This window comes from Homo sapiens, chromosome 2, assembly GCF_000001405.40.
Source record: "Homo sapiens chromosome 2, GRCh38.p14 Primary Assembly".
Lineage (NCBI taxonomy): Eukaryota > Metazoa > Chordata > Mammalia > Primates > Hominidae > Homo > Homo sapiens.
In genome coordinates, this window is record NC_000002.12 from 184,451,258 (window position 1) to 184,469,973 (window position 18,716).

General features: G+C 34.3%; 1 long non-coding RNA gene across 1 annotated transcript; it reads left to right on the forward strand.

Moving 5' to 3' along the window:
- Window positions 1–10,671: 10,671 nt before the first annotated feature.
- LOC105373779 (uncharacterized) lies at window positions 10,672–15,930 on the forward strand. The gene is made up of 4 exons (XR_923656.1): window positions 10,672–10,741; window positions 12,280–12,441; window positions 14,967–15,046; window positions 15,669–15,930. It is a non-coding gene; the product is annotated as an uncharacterized LOC105373779 (long non-coding RNA).
- The last annotated feature ends 2,786 nt before the right edge of the window (window positions 15,931–18,716 follow it).

An 18,716-nucleotide genomic window follows, 5' to 3' on the forward strand; every position in this document is an offset into this window, starting at 1 on the left:
CATTTAACTTTTTCTTAAACATTAAAAACTGTATGTACTTTCTGCATGAATATATCATATACTCATTTGGAAAGCCAGGCAGAAGTTATACCCTACTTGCAACTTAGCTTCAAAAGGGACATAGCATCACTTCTGCAATGTTCTATTCATAAATAGTGGGTCATTAAGCCTGACCCACATTCAAGGGAAGAGAAAGTATTCACATCTTTTGAAGAGGAAATATCAAAAAATTACAGACCTATTTTCACTTCATTTTCTTTACCATGTTAATAAAGTTATCTTCTATTTTAATAGTTTAATTTATATCATAGAAATGAACATCAATGTCTTCTAATTGCATTTCAGCAGTTTCTTTATTGTATGTTTAATATGTCAGGAAGAAATATCTATCACTGCTGATCATCCACATGCTCCTCTCTGAGGTCTACTTTTCTGAATCTTCCAAGCTTGGTCCTTTCCATCTGCTGGCCAACGAGCAGATCATTTTGTTACTGCCTCTGAATTCATGTATATCCTTACTTCGAGTTATATTCTCTCCACAGAAAGTAGATAACTAAGTGCATTTCCTGCAGCTATAATCAGTGGAGGAGTATTTCCTTCCCCCACTGTCTTTTAGGGTCACCACTGACTGTGTCTCTAATGCAGCAATCATTCATTTTCAGCTTACACTTACATACAAGGCTGGTACATTCATGACGTGTTTCATTCCCTGTTAGCTAGTCATAGAAAATCACCCATGAGGACTTTTTTCTGACAATGTAAATACATCAACGTAACAATGATAGTGACATGTACTTTGTGTCAATGTTTAGTACATCTTCCTATGCTTGAACCTAATTGTGAAAGCAACATATACATTTTAGGATGGATTGCATTTAGACCCACTTTATCTTATGATTGGGTTGGTCTGGCAGTACCCAGGTCATGATGTTCCTTGATTAGAAACTCAGTATGTACTGAGAACCTTTATATGCTAAGAGCTGTTTTGTGAATGATGTAAACTTCTTTGTTGTGGGGATCATGGCTTTGCTACCTAACTTCATGGGTCTGCACTGCGACTTTCCTATTGGCACTTGCCAAAAATTCCACACAGCCTCTTTTTCTCCCCCAAACACCTCTAGTAACTTAGAATCTGTTGAGTCATATACAATAAACCTGAGAGTTTCTTGTGTCCCAACCTATACCTACTCCAGTACTTGCCTTAGAAGCTACCTCTCTCCAAATAAATATATCACAGCATTATTCCCAAGAGCAGAATATACAGCCATTAATACTTAGACTGTCATGCTTCTTTTTTTTTATTTTCTAGGATGCAAAAGGTGTAATTAGTTGCTGCCTACCTTATGGGTCTTTTTCTAGCATGTCACAGACCACTGGAGCTTAAACTCTTCACCAATGCGGCAGGTTGTGAGTTTCTTTTGGGTTATTCTCCCACAAGCTGGAGCACATTTGTCTATTTGTTTCTTTCCTTTGCTTCAAATGATTAGAGTTTGTTAAACAGCCCAGTTGGACACTTGCTCATTGAAACTTATTTCTGCCTCAGCCCCAGTTGTTTGAGAAATGCAGGAATTGTTTTCACCAAAAGATCACCTCACCCAAGAATGTTGAAAAGTTAGCTACCTTAGCATTATTGCTACCTCCAACCTCCAATGAGATCTAAAAACCTAGAAGATTAAATGTAGAAAAATGTGAACAGGAAATATAATTTACAAGTCATTTAATAACTATAATTACACAGAATTTACTCACTTTTCAACTTTTTCTGAATGAATACAAAATTTGTGAAACAAAATATACCATGTTATACCACATGAGATACCAAGATGACTGTAATCAAAAAGACAGAAAGTAACAAGAGTTGGCAAGAATGTGGAAAGACTGAAACCCTCATACATTGTATGTAAATGAGAAAGTCACTTTGGGAACAGTGTGGCAGTTCCTCAGAAATTTGGGTTGTTTCCTCTTTTTGTCTGTTGTGAACAATGATGCTATAATCACTTGTGCACAAATGCCTTAACAAAGCATCACAAGCACTTGCTACTTGGCACTCGTTGCTGATCAGGTCTCAATATTAACAAATATTAATATAGTGGATGTGGTGTTCTCAAGGATTTATAGTTAAATACTTAATTATTTACCTCCAATCTCTTCCCACTAAACTAAATATTTTTCTGCATTTATTGGAAAGAGAAATTCTGCTATTCACTCAAAAAAACAGGTTAATAACATCTACTTATAAATGTTATATATAGTCAGGATGGCCAAGTTATCCAAATATGAGTAAACATGTATATTTTCCAGATAATGTAATATAAATTATATATTTACAATGAAAGACTCTAAAGCATGGATTGTTTTTATTCAATTTGATAAGAGCCCTTAATGTTGAGTCTCTTGTTTAATTATCAAAGCTCTGTTAACTAATGCATGGATGGGTAAAAGCTCAGATAATATAGTCTAGGATATACATGTAACCATGAAGATTATCCCTGTCTTCCTGATGTGTAATTATGGCAGAATTCCAATTTCTTTAATTATATTATCATACTAACAACCAGGCACTTAGGTAACCATCATTAGCTACTTAATAGTTTACTGCTATTCATGTAGAAACCTAGGAAATAAAAAATGGATGGCAGGCAGCCAATTAAAGAAAAGGAAATAAATTAGAACATCAGTGAATTGCTAGAGTCTACTATATGGATGTAAGTATAAGTAAGAGAGATTAATCACTCTAAATCTTAACATTCTTTTTTTTAACCTTCATACAATACCTAAAAGTGCCATGTAATTATATCACTAGGTGTATCACATGCAATATGTTTTCTTTTGTAATGAACTCTGTTAAATAAACTATGGAAGTAACATTTCAATCCTTATTAAAAACATGTGATATGTATACTTGCAATTTTATTTTTTCATATCAATATCCTTTATTTTTCAAACAGCTTTAGGTTTATAGAAACATTTAGCAGAAAGTACAGAGAATTCTCATAAAGGCAGAGAGCAGATTAGTGGTTTCTAGGCACATTGGGTATGGAGGAGTGGGAAGTGACTGCTAATGTACATGAGGTTTCTTTTTGAGGTGATGAAAATATTGAAAAATTAGATAGTTCCACAACTCTATGAATATACAAAAAACAGTGTACACTTTAAATGGGTGAATTTTATAGTATGTGAATTGTATCCTAATAAAGCTGTAATTAAAGTACAAAGGATAGAATAAAAACAGCTTACAACTCATCTGCAATACATAAATATTATCAATATATGATGCATAGCAAACCAAGTATCTCCATGAGTATATGTGTTTTAATTTACTCGAATTATCTCTTACTATCTACAGTTTTCAGAAATTGTTTTTATGTTGTACAATAGTATTGATAGACATATTTTCACTGAACAAATTTAATTCTAGATAATCGTTTTCAATGACTAAAAGTATTTTTGTGAAAACATACTGAAGGGTACACTATGTTTAAATAAATTGGTTTTAACTTTTAATTATTACAAATATTTCTCCAGCAAACAATTTTAGCCCTTATTATTTTGGAACATATGGACTTACCTATGCACGGTAAATTTAGGAAAATAAAATTACTAAAATCAAAAGAAATAAATACTTAACATTTGATACAAAATTCATAATTGATAACCTGAAAGATTATATTTCTTTGTACTTCAATAAATAATGTAATTAGGGCCAGGTGTGGTGGCTCATCCCTGTAATCCTAGCACTTTGGGAAGCCAAGGCGGGCAGATCCCTTGAAGCCAGGAGTTCAAGATCAGCCTGGCCATCATGGCGAAACCCCTTCTCTAGCAAAGATACAAAAATTAGCTGGGACTGGTGGTACACACCTGTAATCCCAGCTACTCGGGTGGCTCAGGCTGGAGAATGACTTCAACCCTGGAGGCAGAGGTTGCAGTGAGCCAACATCTTCACCAGTACACTCCAGCCTGGGTGACAGAGCAAGACTCTGTCTCAAAAAAATAAATAAATAATGTCATTATTCCACACTCTATAAATATTATTATAAATATTGTTGGGCTTTATCAATCATTTTAATTTTGTCTATCTCAATATGTACCTATTATTATGCTTTTAATACTGAATATATCCTAACAGTGACACACATACATAAGATGACTTCTTTTATGAGCTTATATCTTATATATATTTTATTTAGATATTCTAACATTTGCCTTAAGGCAAAAGTGACACAGATGCCTTGGTGTACACTCCTACTTTTTGAGCTTCTGTTTTAAATCATTAAAAGTACAAGAATATATCACTTTATAATTTTCAAAATGTTCAGATTTATGTGAAGATCACATACAGACAATCAGATTTATAACCACATGAAGTAGCTATATGTGACTTTCTAATAGACATTAGTCTTAAGCTTTAAACAAGTAAAACAGTTTGGTACAAATAGGTAACCCATTTAATCACAACATACATTAAATATGTTTGATAAATCCCTTTCTATAGCTTTCTAATACATACTGTATACCGTATGAAATAAATAGTAATTTGTGAATAGTATAACTATGCTGACTCATCATTCAAACATTTATATGCAAATATTCAAAGTATGTTTCTACAGATTATATTAGAATTACACATGTCTAACTCCATAGCTCTGCATCTGTATTCAAAATTTATGCTTCAAATGTTTTCATCTCAACTTCTGAGATAAGCTCTTTGGAATATAATTAAATGTGTAAGGACATACAATGCTTATCTTTCTGTGTCAAAGAAAACATTTTGTACTAGAAAATTAAAACTTTCTATTTATAGAAATAAGTATGATCTAAATTTTCTAAAGTAACATAAAATGTTACAAAGTAATTAATAAACCCTGTCTTCTCTTTCGGCATCCTGATTCACTTTTTTTACTTCTCTGATCTGTCTCTTATCTCTTATTCTTTTTCTACCATTCTACTGTGGGTTTTCATACATTTTGTAGGAGAAATTACCTACAACCAGAAATCTAGAGAGACATGAAAATCCAGCTAAAGCTATAATCTGCGTACCTGGAGCAGAGGCTGCTGCGGTTACGAACTGGTGGGAACACTTACGTGTTAACTTTGATAAGTTGCTGGAGGCTGAATGTGGATTCCCCTGCTAGAGAAAACCCCGTAGGGGCTAGCTACGATCTTAGTGGGACCCTCAGACATTTTCATGGGCTTTCCTCTTATCAACCCCAGGGGGAACTGAGACAAAATCCCTTGTGGTTTTGTCATGGGAAGCGGACCATAAATTATAATGATTGATGCCCAGAATCATAATGATTGATGCCCAGTCTCATAAAAAAGGCCTGTATTCAGGCTGGGCGCGGTGGCTCACGCCTGTAATCCCAGCACTTTGGGAGGCCAAGGTGGGCGGATCATGAGGTCAGGAGATCAAGACCATCCTGCCCAACATGGTGAACCCCGTCTCTACTAAAAATAAAATTAGCTGGTCGTGGCGGCGCGTGCCTGTAATCCCAGCTACTCGGGAGGTTGAGGCAGGAAAATCGCTTGAACTCGGGAGGCAGAGGTTGCAGTGAGCCGAGATTGGGCCACTGCACTGCAGCCTTGAGACAGAGGTAGAGTCTGTCTCAAAATAAATAAATAAATAAATAAATAAATAAATAAATAAATAAATAAATAAAAAAGCCTGCCTTCAGACAAAAGGACTGTACCAGAGGTGCATTTTTATCTTTATCCCAGCTGAGGAAAGGGAATTCATCCCAGTTCAACCCGCTTATTTCTTTCTGTCTTACATAAGGTGAGTGTGGCACAGTCAACAGAGGTCAGACATTAAAGGGAATAATCATAGTAATAACTCTGTAATCAGGAAAAGGAGTAGGGATCAGGAGAAAATAAACTATACAACTAAAGAAATATTTGTGAAGGCCACAACCCAGAGGCACAGACCCATTAAAAGAAAGATTTAATTGGAAAATTATAGAATGCTCTATCTCCCTACCCTTTCCACCATACATATAATAGCAACAGAATATAGATGACAGAGTTTCAAGACACAGAATCTCTCTGAGGGGGCATCCACATGGGAATCCAAAGTAAAGAGAGGAGAGAAAAATAAAGATTAGAAACCTCTGGAACCTTTAGCTACAACAAACCTTAAACATAGCCTGATTCCCAGCCAGATTAACATCATTCTCCACAGCAAAGTCCTGTTTAACTCAGTTTCTATTACCCAATACAGCATCCAGCTTTCAACAACAACAACAACAAATACAAGACATTTCAAAAGGCAAGAAAAAACACATTCTGAAGAGGCAAAGCAATCACTGGAACCAAACTCAAATATCACACAAATGCTAGAATTATCCAACACGTAATTTAAAATAACTATGATTAGTGTGTTTAAGGGTCTAATGGAAAAAGCAGACAACAAATAAGAACAGATGGGTAATGTAAACAGTGAGGTAAAAACTCTAAGAAAAAATCAAAGTGAAATGCTAGAAATGAAAAAAAAAAAACAGTAACAGAAAGGAAGAATGTCTTTGATCCCCTCATCAATGGATTCAACACAGCTGAGAAATGAATCAGCAAACTTGAAGATATATCAATAAAGCCTTCCCAAACTGAAACACAAAGACTAAAAAGAATGAAAAATAACAGAAGGCAATATTCAATAAACGTGTGACAATATTCAAAGGGCTAACGTGCAATTGGAATACCAGCAGGAGAAGAAAGATTGAATGTGGCAGAATAAAAAATTGAAATAATAATGACTGGAGACTTTTCATAATTAATGACAGATTAGCAAATCATAGATTTAGGAAGCTCAGAGAACACCAACCAGGATAAATATTGAAACACACACACACACACACACACACGCACATATCCTAGGAATATAATACTTAAACTGCTGAAACCGAAGACAAAGAGAAAAATTATGAAAGTAAAAAGAGATCTACAGTCTTAAGTTTAAAATTGAGGAACATTTTTCACTTTATAAAAAATCTGTTTTTATAATCTGTATGAAAACTTCATAGTTACAGATATAGGTACATTTCTTTATTTCTGTGAATGTAAGATGCAAAGTAATATAGTTGTCCAAAAAAACCCATAAGGAGTCTTATGTAGAACAAGTAATTTTAAGATTATTGTTAATAGTTTATAGTGTCTGTATTTTTCTGAAGAAGAAACACATTCTGGAAAATAAATGCTTATTAGATGAGTGGGAATACTAAATTACATGCTGCTCTTGTTAATCAAATAAAGTTATTTATAAACAATATATTTATTTTATATGTTTTGTACGTATACAATTAAAAATAATTACCATAACTATTTTACATATTTTTCTTAAATATGATATTACTTTTGTATATTTCAAGGCAATTAGAATGTGGATGTGTATTTAGTTCTAAAACTTGAGAAAAAAATTTCATGCTATCAGCTGTTTACTATGTACCAATTTGACTGCTTAGAAATCTTAAAAGTAATTATAAACATTATCCCATATAAATAGGGCATCTATTCTCACTAATTAAATCAGTGATGCTACACAATACATATATACAATTCCAAATCTAACAAATGCCTGATGACAGAGTACTAGGCATATCAAAATCTGAATTTATTGTTTTGCATCCATATCATCGCCATTTCCCACATTCTTCATTTGTGATAATTGAATTTCCATGCTTCTATCTTCCTCATTCATCAAGCTGTTCAATAATTGTATAAATCCTGAAACCCTGTCTACAAAATGGCATTTAAGCCAGGTTTCTTTTATTTTCTTCTTTTCTAGGCGATCCTGATCCTTTTCTCATTGTCTAGAAGATATTCTTGTTTCTGGTCTTTCACCAAGAACATAGTGCTTCCATCTAATCTCACTTCTTTGATAAATCGTATTGGTAAAATTACCTAGATATTTGCTGTTCCTTTATATATATCAGGATCCTTATCTTGTCCTTACAAAATAAATCTAAATGTGCCAATGTTAATTAAACAAATAAAAATATTAAATATATGCTATATTTCATAATTTTGAACTAATTATATCTGTATTTATCATTATTACATTACATATATATGTCAGAAAAGAAACTGATAGAAAAAGTCTGATTAAAGTTACTACAGACCAGATTGAAATATTTGTTTATTTTTTATCAAAATTACAACAAATAATTATCTGGCCCAAAATCTCAATAGTGGCAAGATTGAGAAACTGATTTTAATAATTAACTATTAGGAATATAAATTAGGATGGAGTGAAATGGGCACTACAAGCATCCTTTCTGATTATTAAAATTGTAAATCTCTTCTGTAAAGAGAGTTTAGTGATAGAGTTTAATGATACACTATCAATATTTAAATACAATCGTATGAGGCATAATAATGTTTCTGTCAACACAGACTTTGTATACAACAGTGATCCCATATTATTATAATGGATTTGAAAAATTCCTAGTGCCCAGTGACATCATAGGCATCCTTATAACACAGCATAACACATTTCTCATGTGTTTGTTGTGATACTGGGTAAACACATTTACTGTGCAGCCACTTGTATAGAAGCATAGCACATTTAACTATGCACTGTACATAATACTTGATAATAATAATAAATGACTATATTACTGGTTTATGTATTTACTGTACTTTTTATCTACATATGAAAACAAAAGTTAACTGTAAAATAGCCTCAGGCAAGTCGTTCATGAAGTATCCCAGAAGAAGACATTATTATCATCAGAAATGACAGTTATACAGTAATTGCCTCTGAAGACCTTCCAGTGGGACAAGATGTGAAGGTGGAAGACAGTGATATTGTTGATTCTGACCCTGTGTGGGCCCACACTAATATGCATGGTGTGTCTTAGTTCTCAACAAAAAAAAGTTTTAAAAGTTTTGAAAAATTTAAAATTTTAAAAGTAGAAAAGAACTCATAGAATAAGGATATAAAGAAAATATTTTAGTATGACTGCAAAAAGCGGTTATATTTTAAGTGAAGTGTTACTACAAAAAGTCAAAAGTTAAAAACAATTATAAGTTTATACAGTTAAAACGTTATAGTAAACTAAGATGAATTTGTTATTAAAGGAAATTTTTTTATAAACAGCGTAGTCTAAATGTATATAAAAATAGTGTGCAGGATTAAGAAAGTCCACAGAATGTACAGTAATGTCCTAGGCCTTCGCATTCACTCACCACTCACTCTACTGACTCACGGAGAGCAATTTCCAGTCTGCAAGCTGCAGTCATAGTAAGTGCCCTATACAAGTGTACCATTTTTTATTTTTTGTGTTGTATTTTTATTGTCTCTTCTCTATGTTTAGATACAAAACTACTTATCATAGTGTTATAGTTGCCTACAGTATTCAGAACAGTAACATGCTGTGCAGATTTGTAGCCTAGGAGCAATAGGCTATATCGCATAGCCTATGTGTGTAGTAGGCTATACCATCTAGGTTCGTGTAAGTACACTCTGTGATGTTCACACAAGGAAATGGCCCAAAGACACCTTTCTCAGAACTTGTCTCTGTTGTTACGCATCACATGGCTGTATAGAGTAGATCCCCTTTTCCCTTTTCCACAGTTGCAGTTAACAGCAGTCAACAGCAGTCAGAAAATAGGTATACAGCAGAATGAAATATTTTCAGAGAGAGAAAGAGGAAGGCCACATTTGCATAACATTTATTAAAGTATATTTTTATAATTGTTTTATGAAATTATTAACTATTGCTAATCTCTTACTGTGCCTAATTTATATATTATAATTTATCATAGGTACATCTGTACAGGGAAAAACATAGCATATATAGGCTTTAGTACTGTTCATGGTTTCAGACACCCACTGGGGTATTGGAATGTATTCCCCACCAATAAAGGGGGACTACTGTACATGATTTGATTTACTAATTCTACTTCTAGAAATTATTATAAGAATATAATTGAACAAGAGCTGAAAAAATGCATGTGTGGCTTTGTTCATCCCAACATTGAATGTTAAACTGCTAAAAACTGAAAACTATCTGATATGGGAATCTGTATTTAAATGATGATAAGTACATACAACAGAGTACTACGTAAACATTAGAAAATAACATATAACCCCTATCAGGTATGGAAATTAAGTCATGACAATTTACAGAAATTGAAAAAGCTTTAAAATAACAGGTACATCATGAGTTAACTTATTATAAATAGACATATAGTATAAATATATGCATTTTCCATACTATTTTTGCATATAGATATGTATATGCATGCTTGCCAAATTGAGAGCAATATTTAACACACGGTCATGAAGTAGAGCATTTTTTAAACCTTTATGTTGGTGTACTATAATTATTAATTTTATGTGAAAATAGGTGTTATCTTTATGTTCACAAAATAGAAACTACCAATGAATATATATTATTTGCATAATATAAATGATTAATGTAGTTCTTTTTTTTTTTTTTTTTGAGACGGAGTCTCGCTCTGTTACCCAGGCTGGAGTGCGGTGGCGTGATCTCGGCTCACTGCAAGCTCCGCCTCCCGGGTTCACGCCATTCTCCTGCGAGTAGCCAGGACTACAGGCGCCCGCCACCGCGCCCGGCTAATTTTTTGTATTTTTAGTAGAGACGGAGTTTCACTGTGTTAGCCAGGATGGTCTTGATCTCCTGACCTCGTGATCTGCCCGCCTCGGCTTCCCAAGTGCTAGGATTACAGGCGTGAGCCGCCGCGCCCGGCCAATGTAGTCCTTTTTCATCAACAGTTTCTGTTCAAGGTTAGACTAATATTTCAAGCAAAATTATTCTAAAGTCAGTTTTAAAAGATGTCAAATTAAAGTATGTAGAAACTCTTTTTAGGTTGTAATGCCCCTTTACTCTTTAAATTTCCCAAGAATGGAATTTTAGCTACCTGCAAAATGCACTTATTTTATATGTTTTTTATAATGTCCTATTTATTTATTCACCCCGAGGAGCACTTGATATTGGTTTTCACTGACAATTCATGTATAAAACAATGAAAAAATACATTATTGGAACTATTGCTGAACTATACAAACAATAAAATGAAATGTGAGTGATCAGCAAACTAGCAAATGCAAAGAGTAGTGACTGTTTATTTTTAAATTTTTCATAAACTCTAATAGGGCCATTCTTTACAAATTAAAAGAGGTTCCAGATAGGCATATTACAAAACGACTTATCACCTTTCTTTATCTTTTCCTAAGAAAAAAATCACAAAGAACCTATTTATTTTCTTGGTTATCTGAAAGGAAGAATGAAAAATATGAAAAGCACAGGAGGATAATTTAACTGAGTACAACAAGTAATCAAACACCTTAATAAGCCATTGTGATTAAGAATCAAAAATGATTTCAAAACTATTTCTCTGAATATTTAGTTCAAAAATTATAAAAAAACATTTTCATTTTAGTGTTTAGGATATACTTTAAAGCATTTTCTGTTCTGTTAAGAAATTAGCAGATTACCAATGTAGAAAAGATCACACAAGATAATTGTATTTGGCAAATTACATTTCAAATGAAGATGATTAATAAGACATTTTCCATCACAAGGACACAAAAATAGAAACAGAATTATTATGAATTTATTTCAGGACATTAATGTATTTCCATCTTTCTTTGCATTTATAAAATGTCAAGTATTTTCAAATAGTTTGCCTACTATTAGGGATCTAATACGTATTTGTCTTGATATAGTGGATGAACGTCTATATTCTCTGTCTCTTCAATAGCCTAAAATTAGTGTGCATAGCTGGCAAGGCTTTCTGAACTCTAGGAAGTTACAAGAGGCAAATATCTTTGTGATATCCACTTTGCCCCTGACAGTAGAAGTATGCTTACTTTTCAACTTTTATAACCTTTGCAGTCTTTGTAGCTTTTTCTTATTATTTTATTTCAATTTCTCAGCTCTTGGTCCCAGACCTACTCTTGTATTCCTATTTCAAATATTGAAGCTGAGAATATTTAAACTATAGACTTCCTTACAAGCTTGCTTTCAGTTGTGTTCAGCCAATATCAGGCACTGATCAGAACTGAGAAGTTTGAAGAAGAGAGCAACACTGATCCTATTTCAGATTCTTTTCCATGTTAGCAGCAAACACCAAAGGATTCAGTACTAGCTAAAGTCTCCCTGTTCCCCCATCCCAGCTGTGGCAACTCCATACATTTCCAAAGTTCCGACTCTGAACTATATCACTCTCTCTCAGGTCTTTCAGCCTTCTAAGAGCAGTGAATACGTTCTGTGTTTTGCATCTCTTATTTTGAAATAGCTAGTATGATTTCTGTTTCTCTAGGTGGACTTTGATACATAGCCTGTGAAGCACTTGCAGAGGAGAAGTTGGGGAAAGAGAGAGAGCCTTCCTCCAGGTGCATAAATGAAAGAGACAACTCACCACCTGGAGCACTGTTAACATACATGGGCAGAGACACTGTTTGCCAAACGGCCCAGAAGTAAGGTACAATAACAGTGAAATCTGATTTCCAGTGAGCAAACATTTAGGAAAATAAAACTTATCTATGAGATTTCGCAACCACTGAGAGAAGGATCAAGTGGACCACATAGGAGAGGTGGTTAATAAGAAATACACTACTAGAAAAGACAATAATACCTTTATCAGATATAACATGGGAATTTAGGAGACTAAAGTAAAGCAATCACAGACACAAAAGACTTCCTGGACCTTAAATTTATAATCTATAAAAATTTAGTACTTAGCATTTTATATTACTTAGCATTTAGTATTTAGCATTTCTTGTATGAAAGAAGGTAATAATTAACTCAAATTAGCAAACTAGCAGACGAAGTGAACTTTTACCCAAAATACAGTGTAAGGGAAAATATTCTTGTCTTTAAAACAGATCTAGAACAACTAATATTGAGATAATAGTTTCAAAAAGAGGAAAGAAATTGAAGTATGTAATACTAATTAAGTTTTCAATTAGAGAATAAAATATATTCCTAAGACATATTAGAAAAATTTTTCCTGTACTCAAAAAAAAAAAAAAGATCTGAATTTGTAGAGAGCACATTTTTACCAAATTAAAGGGAAAATATATGCTTATACCTGAACTTGAGCTATGCATATGGTGGTATAATTCATAAATTCTAAGAACAAAAAGAATGTTTTTTAAACAATCATTTAAGACGTCATACCAAGTTACTTAAAAATAATGAGACTGAGCCAGGTGCAGTGGCTCAGCCTGTAATCCCGACGTTTTGGGAGGCTAAGGCAGATGGATCACTTGAGGTCTGGAGTTTGAGGCTAGTTTGGCCAACATGGTGAAAGCTGTCTCTATCAAAAAATATAAAATTTAGGTGGGCATAGTGGCACGTGCCTGTAGTCCCAGCTACTAGGGAGGCTGAGATGGGACAATTACTTGAACCCAGGAGGCGGAGGTTGAAGTCAGCAGAGATTGCACCACTGCACACTACACTCCAGCCTGGGTAACAGAGTGAGACTATATGTCTCAAAAAAAAAAAAAAAAAAAAAAAAGAATCAGAAAGAATTTCACACCCAGCTAAGTCATTATTCATCCATCTAGACAAAAGAAAGTTATTTATTTAGGTAAATATGAGGATTCTAAGAATATATTTCTCTTGTATTCTGAGAAAGGGTCATAAGAAAGAAATCTGTCTAAACTGACAAAAACAAAAGGATGCAAAGTTTATAGCTAGTTTTAGTTAACTTTAAATAGATTACAATAGTATGAATTAGAAAGTGTAAGTGAAGAGATAAAAATGACACTTGAAAGGAAATGAAAATAAGTTTCCTTTGCTATTGTAAATGTGGCTTAAGAATGATGCAGTAAAAGTACTTAAAAGCTTTCATTATTTAAGATGTTAGCAGGATAGAAATGAAAAGGTAAAGTAGAACACTCACCTTGAAAAAATTTTTGAAAAGAAGGTGGAAGGTGATAAATACAACATAGACCAAACAAGCTAGTAGGAGGAAAAGAAAAAAAAAAGTACAAAAAGTAAGCCATAAAAGAGAAAAATAAAAATAAAATAAGTTTATTAGTTGTTGCATCAAATGTGAATTCAGCTCTTTAAAAAATTAAATAGAGATTATTGGAGAAGATGAACAAAAATAGCACCCAACACTAAGGTTTAATTTCAGAAGTTGCTGCTGCTTTTGGTGACTCTAGAGGATTGTTAAGAGAATGACTGTGGCTGAGTATTGGTAAGTATTTTAAAACTACCTAGTAGAGGAAGCAGGATTTTGCAGAATAAAAAGAAGAGGAAAACCAGACTTGTTAGAGTATGCTGATATTTTGTTTTTCTTATTCCTGGCAAAATATCTGGAAAGACATTGATGTAGAAGGTGGATTTAAAAGTCTCTACCTCTGACTATGATTTTCAAAAGAACTGAATTATTGTATGGAGTAGGAAGGATACTGGTCTGAGGAACTTCAGACTCATGATGGGTGGATCTGACCTATTTGGAGCTGACTTGGGCGAGTTCTGCTTCAAGCTTAACTTAAATAAGCACAACATACACAGAACGTCCTAGTGACTAAATAAAGAAACATAAGGTTTAACAAGAGAAGCCAGGCATTCTAGATAGAGGTATTTAGCAGCACTGGCGAGGCAGACAGAGCTTTGTTTCAAGAATTAAAAACCCTGATCAACGCTTTATAGACATTGGGGAAGCTAATGGCAACCCTTCGTTTGAGTATTTCAAGAAACAGCTGTTAAAATGAAGTAACCCTTAAAAAAAGATGAAGAAACTCCGCCAATGTGCCAAACATGAGAACTTCTCCCAATTTGTCTCTAATATGCCCTCCTTGGGCCATATATAGAAATTGCGTCTTGGAAAACAAACAGACTTTATAAACAACGCTGGAAAGTAAATTGCCCAGCATCAGAGTGAAATATTTCTTCCCCGGTAGAAATTTTGAAAATCACATGTTATTATGAAAAATGTACATGTCATAATGAACTGCCTCCACTGGGAAATAATCTATGGTTTGTATTGCACAGGTTAGAGCAAGTTTGAAGAGTCTTGTAGAATTGGAGAGCAATGAGGAATGAAATTCTTCCAGATCCACAAAGCTCCATAGGTATCCATTTCTTCTGACATGTCTGCTCCAATCACAGGGTTGAATGTGAGGGCTGTCACCTATGCAGTCTAGTAACCACACTATCCATCAATCATCTAAACCGGGCACATCACCTGAACTGTGAAGTCCAAAGTCTGGGCATATAGAGTCAGGGACAATGAGAAGATAATCAGACCATGTTTCCTACAAAATTGACTACATCTAGCTGTTTTGAAATCAGGCATCAGTTCTTTCCCAGTTTAGGAACTAGTTATTTTCGGTTCAATCTGCCTCAGTGAAATTTTTATCACTCTATCATGGATAAAGTTCTATTAGAGGGTCAGTGCTACAAAAGAGAGTCTTGAGGGGGTAGAAATTAATCACCATCAAAGGCTAAGACACAAGGGTCACATAATGATTGTAAATACCAGGTCAATTTTATTTCTTACTCCTTGAGGGAAAGTACAAGAAAGCTGATAATATGAGTAAGATAATTTGAAGGTTAACAGCATCTGGAAAACATGTCAATATTATTTGCAGGAATGCAAAGACTTAGTAAGGGTAATGTGGTATAATATTCTGAGATGTTACTCTACATATTTTCTTTTTTATCTGTACCTACTTCCCTGCATCCCTTGCTCAGGCAGATACTCAACTTCTTCAAGCAAACAATCCAGAAAGTTACCCAGAAAAAGAAGGGAAGAGGGAAGGAGAAATGAGACACATCTCTAGGTTCTGAAGCAGAGGACACCGAGCCAACAAATTTCCAGAGAAATGGCTACACTGGAGCATAGTCACCCTCACAATATTCTCCTTTCCTGTGAGTGACATGGAACAGGTAGGGAGCTCAGTCCTAAAATGCAATGATAGGTGTCTCCAGTATTTATGTGAACCGCTGATGAACAGAGGACCCCTTGTTACCACTATAAATCACCAATATCTCGGCACTGGCTAAGGTCCCTAAGAACTAAAGGAGGGAAAATGAAAAAGGAGTTCGTTGTTTCCTCTAGCTTAGCAGAACAGGGGTTTAAATTCACAGCCCAATTGGCACTGTTAACAAATAACGTGCCATTTCTTGCACACTTCACTTTTGTAGCCTTGAGATTCATATCCACTACATACATGTATTTTGAATTGTGTGCCCAGTGGGCAACACATGAGACCATATTGTCTCTAAAAATGTATGGGATACATACATAAATTGCCTGTATAATATGCCATAACCAAGTGTTATTTATTTATTTATTTATTTATTCTGGAGACGGTGTTTTGCTCCTGTCTCCCAGGCTGGAGTGCAGTGGTGCAATCTCGGCTCATGCAACCTCCACCTCCCAGGTTCAAGTGATTCTCCTGCCTCAGCCTTCCGAGTACCAGGGATTACAGGCATGCACCACCATGCCCAGCTAATTTTGTATTTTTAGTAGAGACAGGGTTTCTCCATGATGGTCAGGCTGGTCTGAAGCTCCCGACCTCAGGTGATCCGCCCACCTCAGCCTCTCAAAGTGCTGGGATTACAGGGGTGAGCCACCGCGCCTGGCGGTATTACTTTTTAAAAAGCAGAAATTACTGGAACTAGAGGGAGGACTCCAGTAGACAGCCTACATAAAGACAGAGCCCTCAGTCATTGAGCTGCAAGGAAATGAATTCAGCCAACAGCCTGAATGAGCTTGGAAGCAATTTTTCCCCAATGAAGGCTTCAGATGAGAATGCAGCCTGGTTGACATCTGCATTCTAGCCTTGTGAGACTCTGGAAACTCTGACCCATGGAAACTATGAAAATAGTATGTGTTGCTTTAAGATGCTAGATTTATTGTAAGTCACTATACAACAATAGAAAACTAATGCAGTATTAATTGCCAGATAAAATGTGAACTTTTAAGCAAAACTTATAATTTTGAAAGACTTACGCTGTTTCTATTGTTGATTATACTATAAGCTTCACAGCTTCCCAATACTGAATTGATTTCCTCATGAGATTTGTGGTGGTGTTAATGAATGTGATATTTTTCTATTGCGTAAGGAAATGTGTCAACGTTTGTAAGATCCATGTAACTCTATGAACCAATATTTTCAAAATGACCAATTTGTGATGCCACAAAATCATGGATAAATAAAAGTGCAAGATAGAGCACTGAATTTAAAAAAGTAAGGGTTTTATTTTGAAGTCTTGAATTATTTCCACATGTAATACCGCCTCTAATACTTTGTAATTAATTTATTTTTTCAAGTTTCACAGATCACGTTAATTTTTTGCTAGATTCTCACATCAGTTTCTGCATTCTATTTCAGTCTGTTGCTGCATGTATTTTCTCTACTTCCAATTTCCAAGCAAATGTAGATTCACGATATACAAAGAAATGTACACTTTCACCCAGCCTACTCCAATGTTAACATCTTGCGTAACTGTAGAAGGATATTAAAATCAGTAATTCGAAATTGGTACAATCCATTGAGTTTATTCAGATTTCTCCAGTTATTTATTGTACTCATTTGTGTGTGTGTATAGATCTGTGAAATTTTATTACACATGTAGCTTTGTGTAATTACCACCACCATTAAGAGACTGGCTTTATCATCACCTTGAACTCCCTCATTTGCCCTTTCATATACACACTCTCTCCTCTACATCTTTAACTACTGGCAACTACTAACCTTTCTTCCATCTCTATAATTATGTCATTTCATGAATCTAATGTAAATGGAAGGTCGCAGGTTGTATCTTTTTGAAATTGGCTTTTTTTCTCCACTCAGCATAATTGCCTTAAAGTTTATTCAAGCTATCCTTTGCATGAACATCCTTTGTACTATAGTTCAAACTACAGTATTACATGGTACGGATGTACCACAGTTATTTAACCATTTAGCCTTTGAAGACCGTTTGGCTTGGTTACAGTTTAGGCTATTTTTAATAAGGCTGATATGAACATTCATGGAAAAAAAGTATTTAAAAAATAAAAAGCAGGAATAATAATATCCATACTATCTGGCAATAGTATTATGTAATAACCAAAATTGCAAGTAAAAGCTTTTAAGCATTATTCCTCCACTAAAAGTTGTTAAAGTGTGTGGAAAAGGCAAAACTGAGAGTTGCAAATATTTAAATATTTGGGAGACAGCCCAAAATAGTAAACAGAAGAAAAATGCAGCCTTCAATGCCGCATTTATTAGAAGATAGACATATAACAACATGGGAACTTGAAATCCTAGCATCTTTGGATGGATATGATCACATCTCAGAAAAAGGAGCGAATCATCAGTTTTTGTGTACATGAAGTCTGATGTACTTTTCATACAAGGTTAGTTAATATTGTATTGCTAATGAATCTAGACAAATACTTTCAACAAAGTGGAGTTATCAATTCATCTGCAATATCATAAATTTTCTTTAACAGCTTTTTTCATTTCTGAACCTTCAAAAGACCTTGGCATATTATACAGTTAGAAACACAGCAATTGAAACTGGAGCCAGATTTGATTATTTTTAAAAAGTACAAAACTCAAACACATCCTCCTGTGTTAGCACTCTTTTCTGTTTGCAACACTTTAAAGAAACATCAATGGATGAAAGGATAAAGAAAATGTAGTCTGTATGCATAATAAAATATTATTCAGCTATAAAAATAATGAAATACTGTCATTTGTAACAACATGGATGGAACTGCAGGTCATTATGTTAAGTGAAATAAGCCAG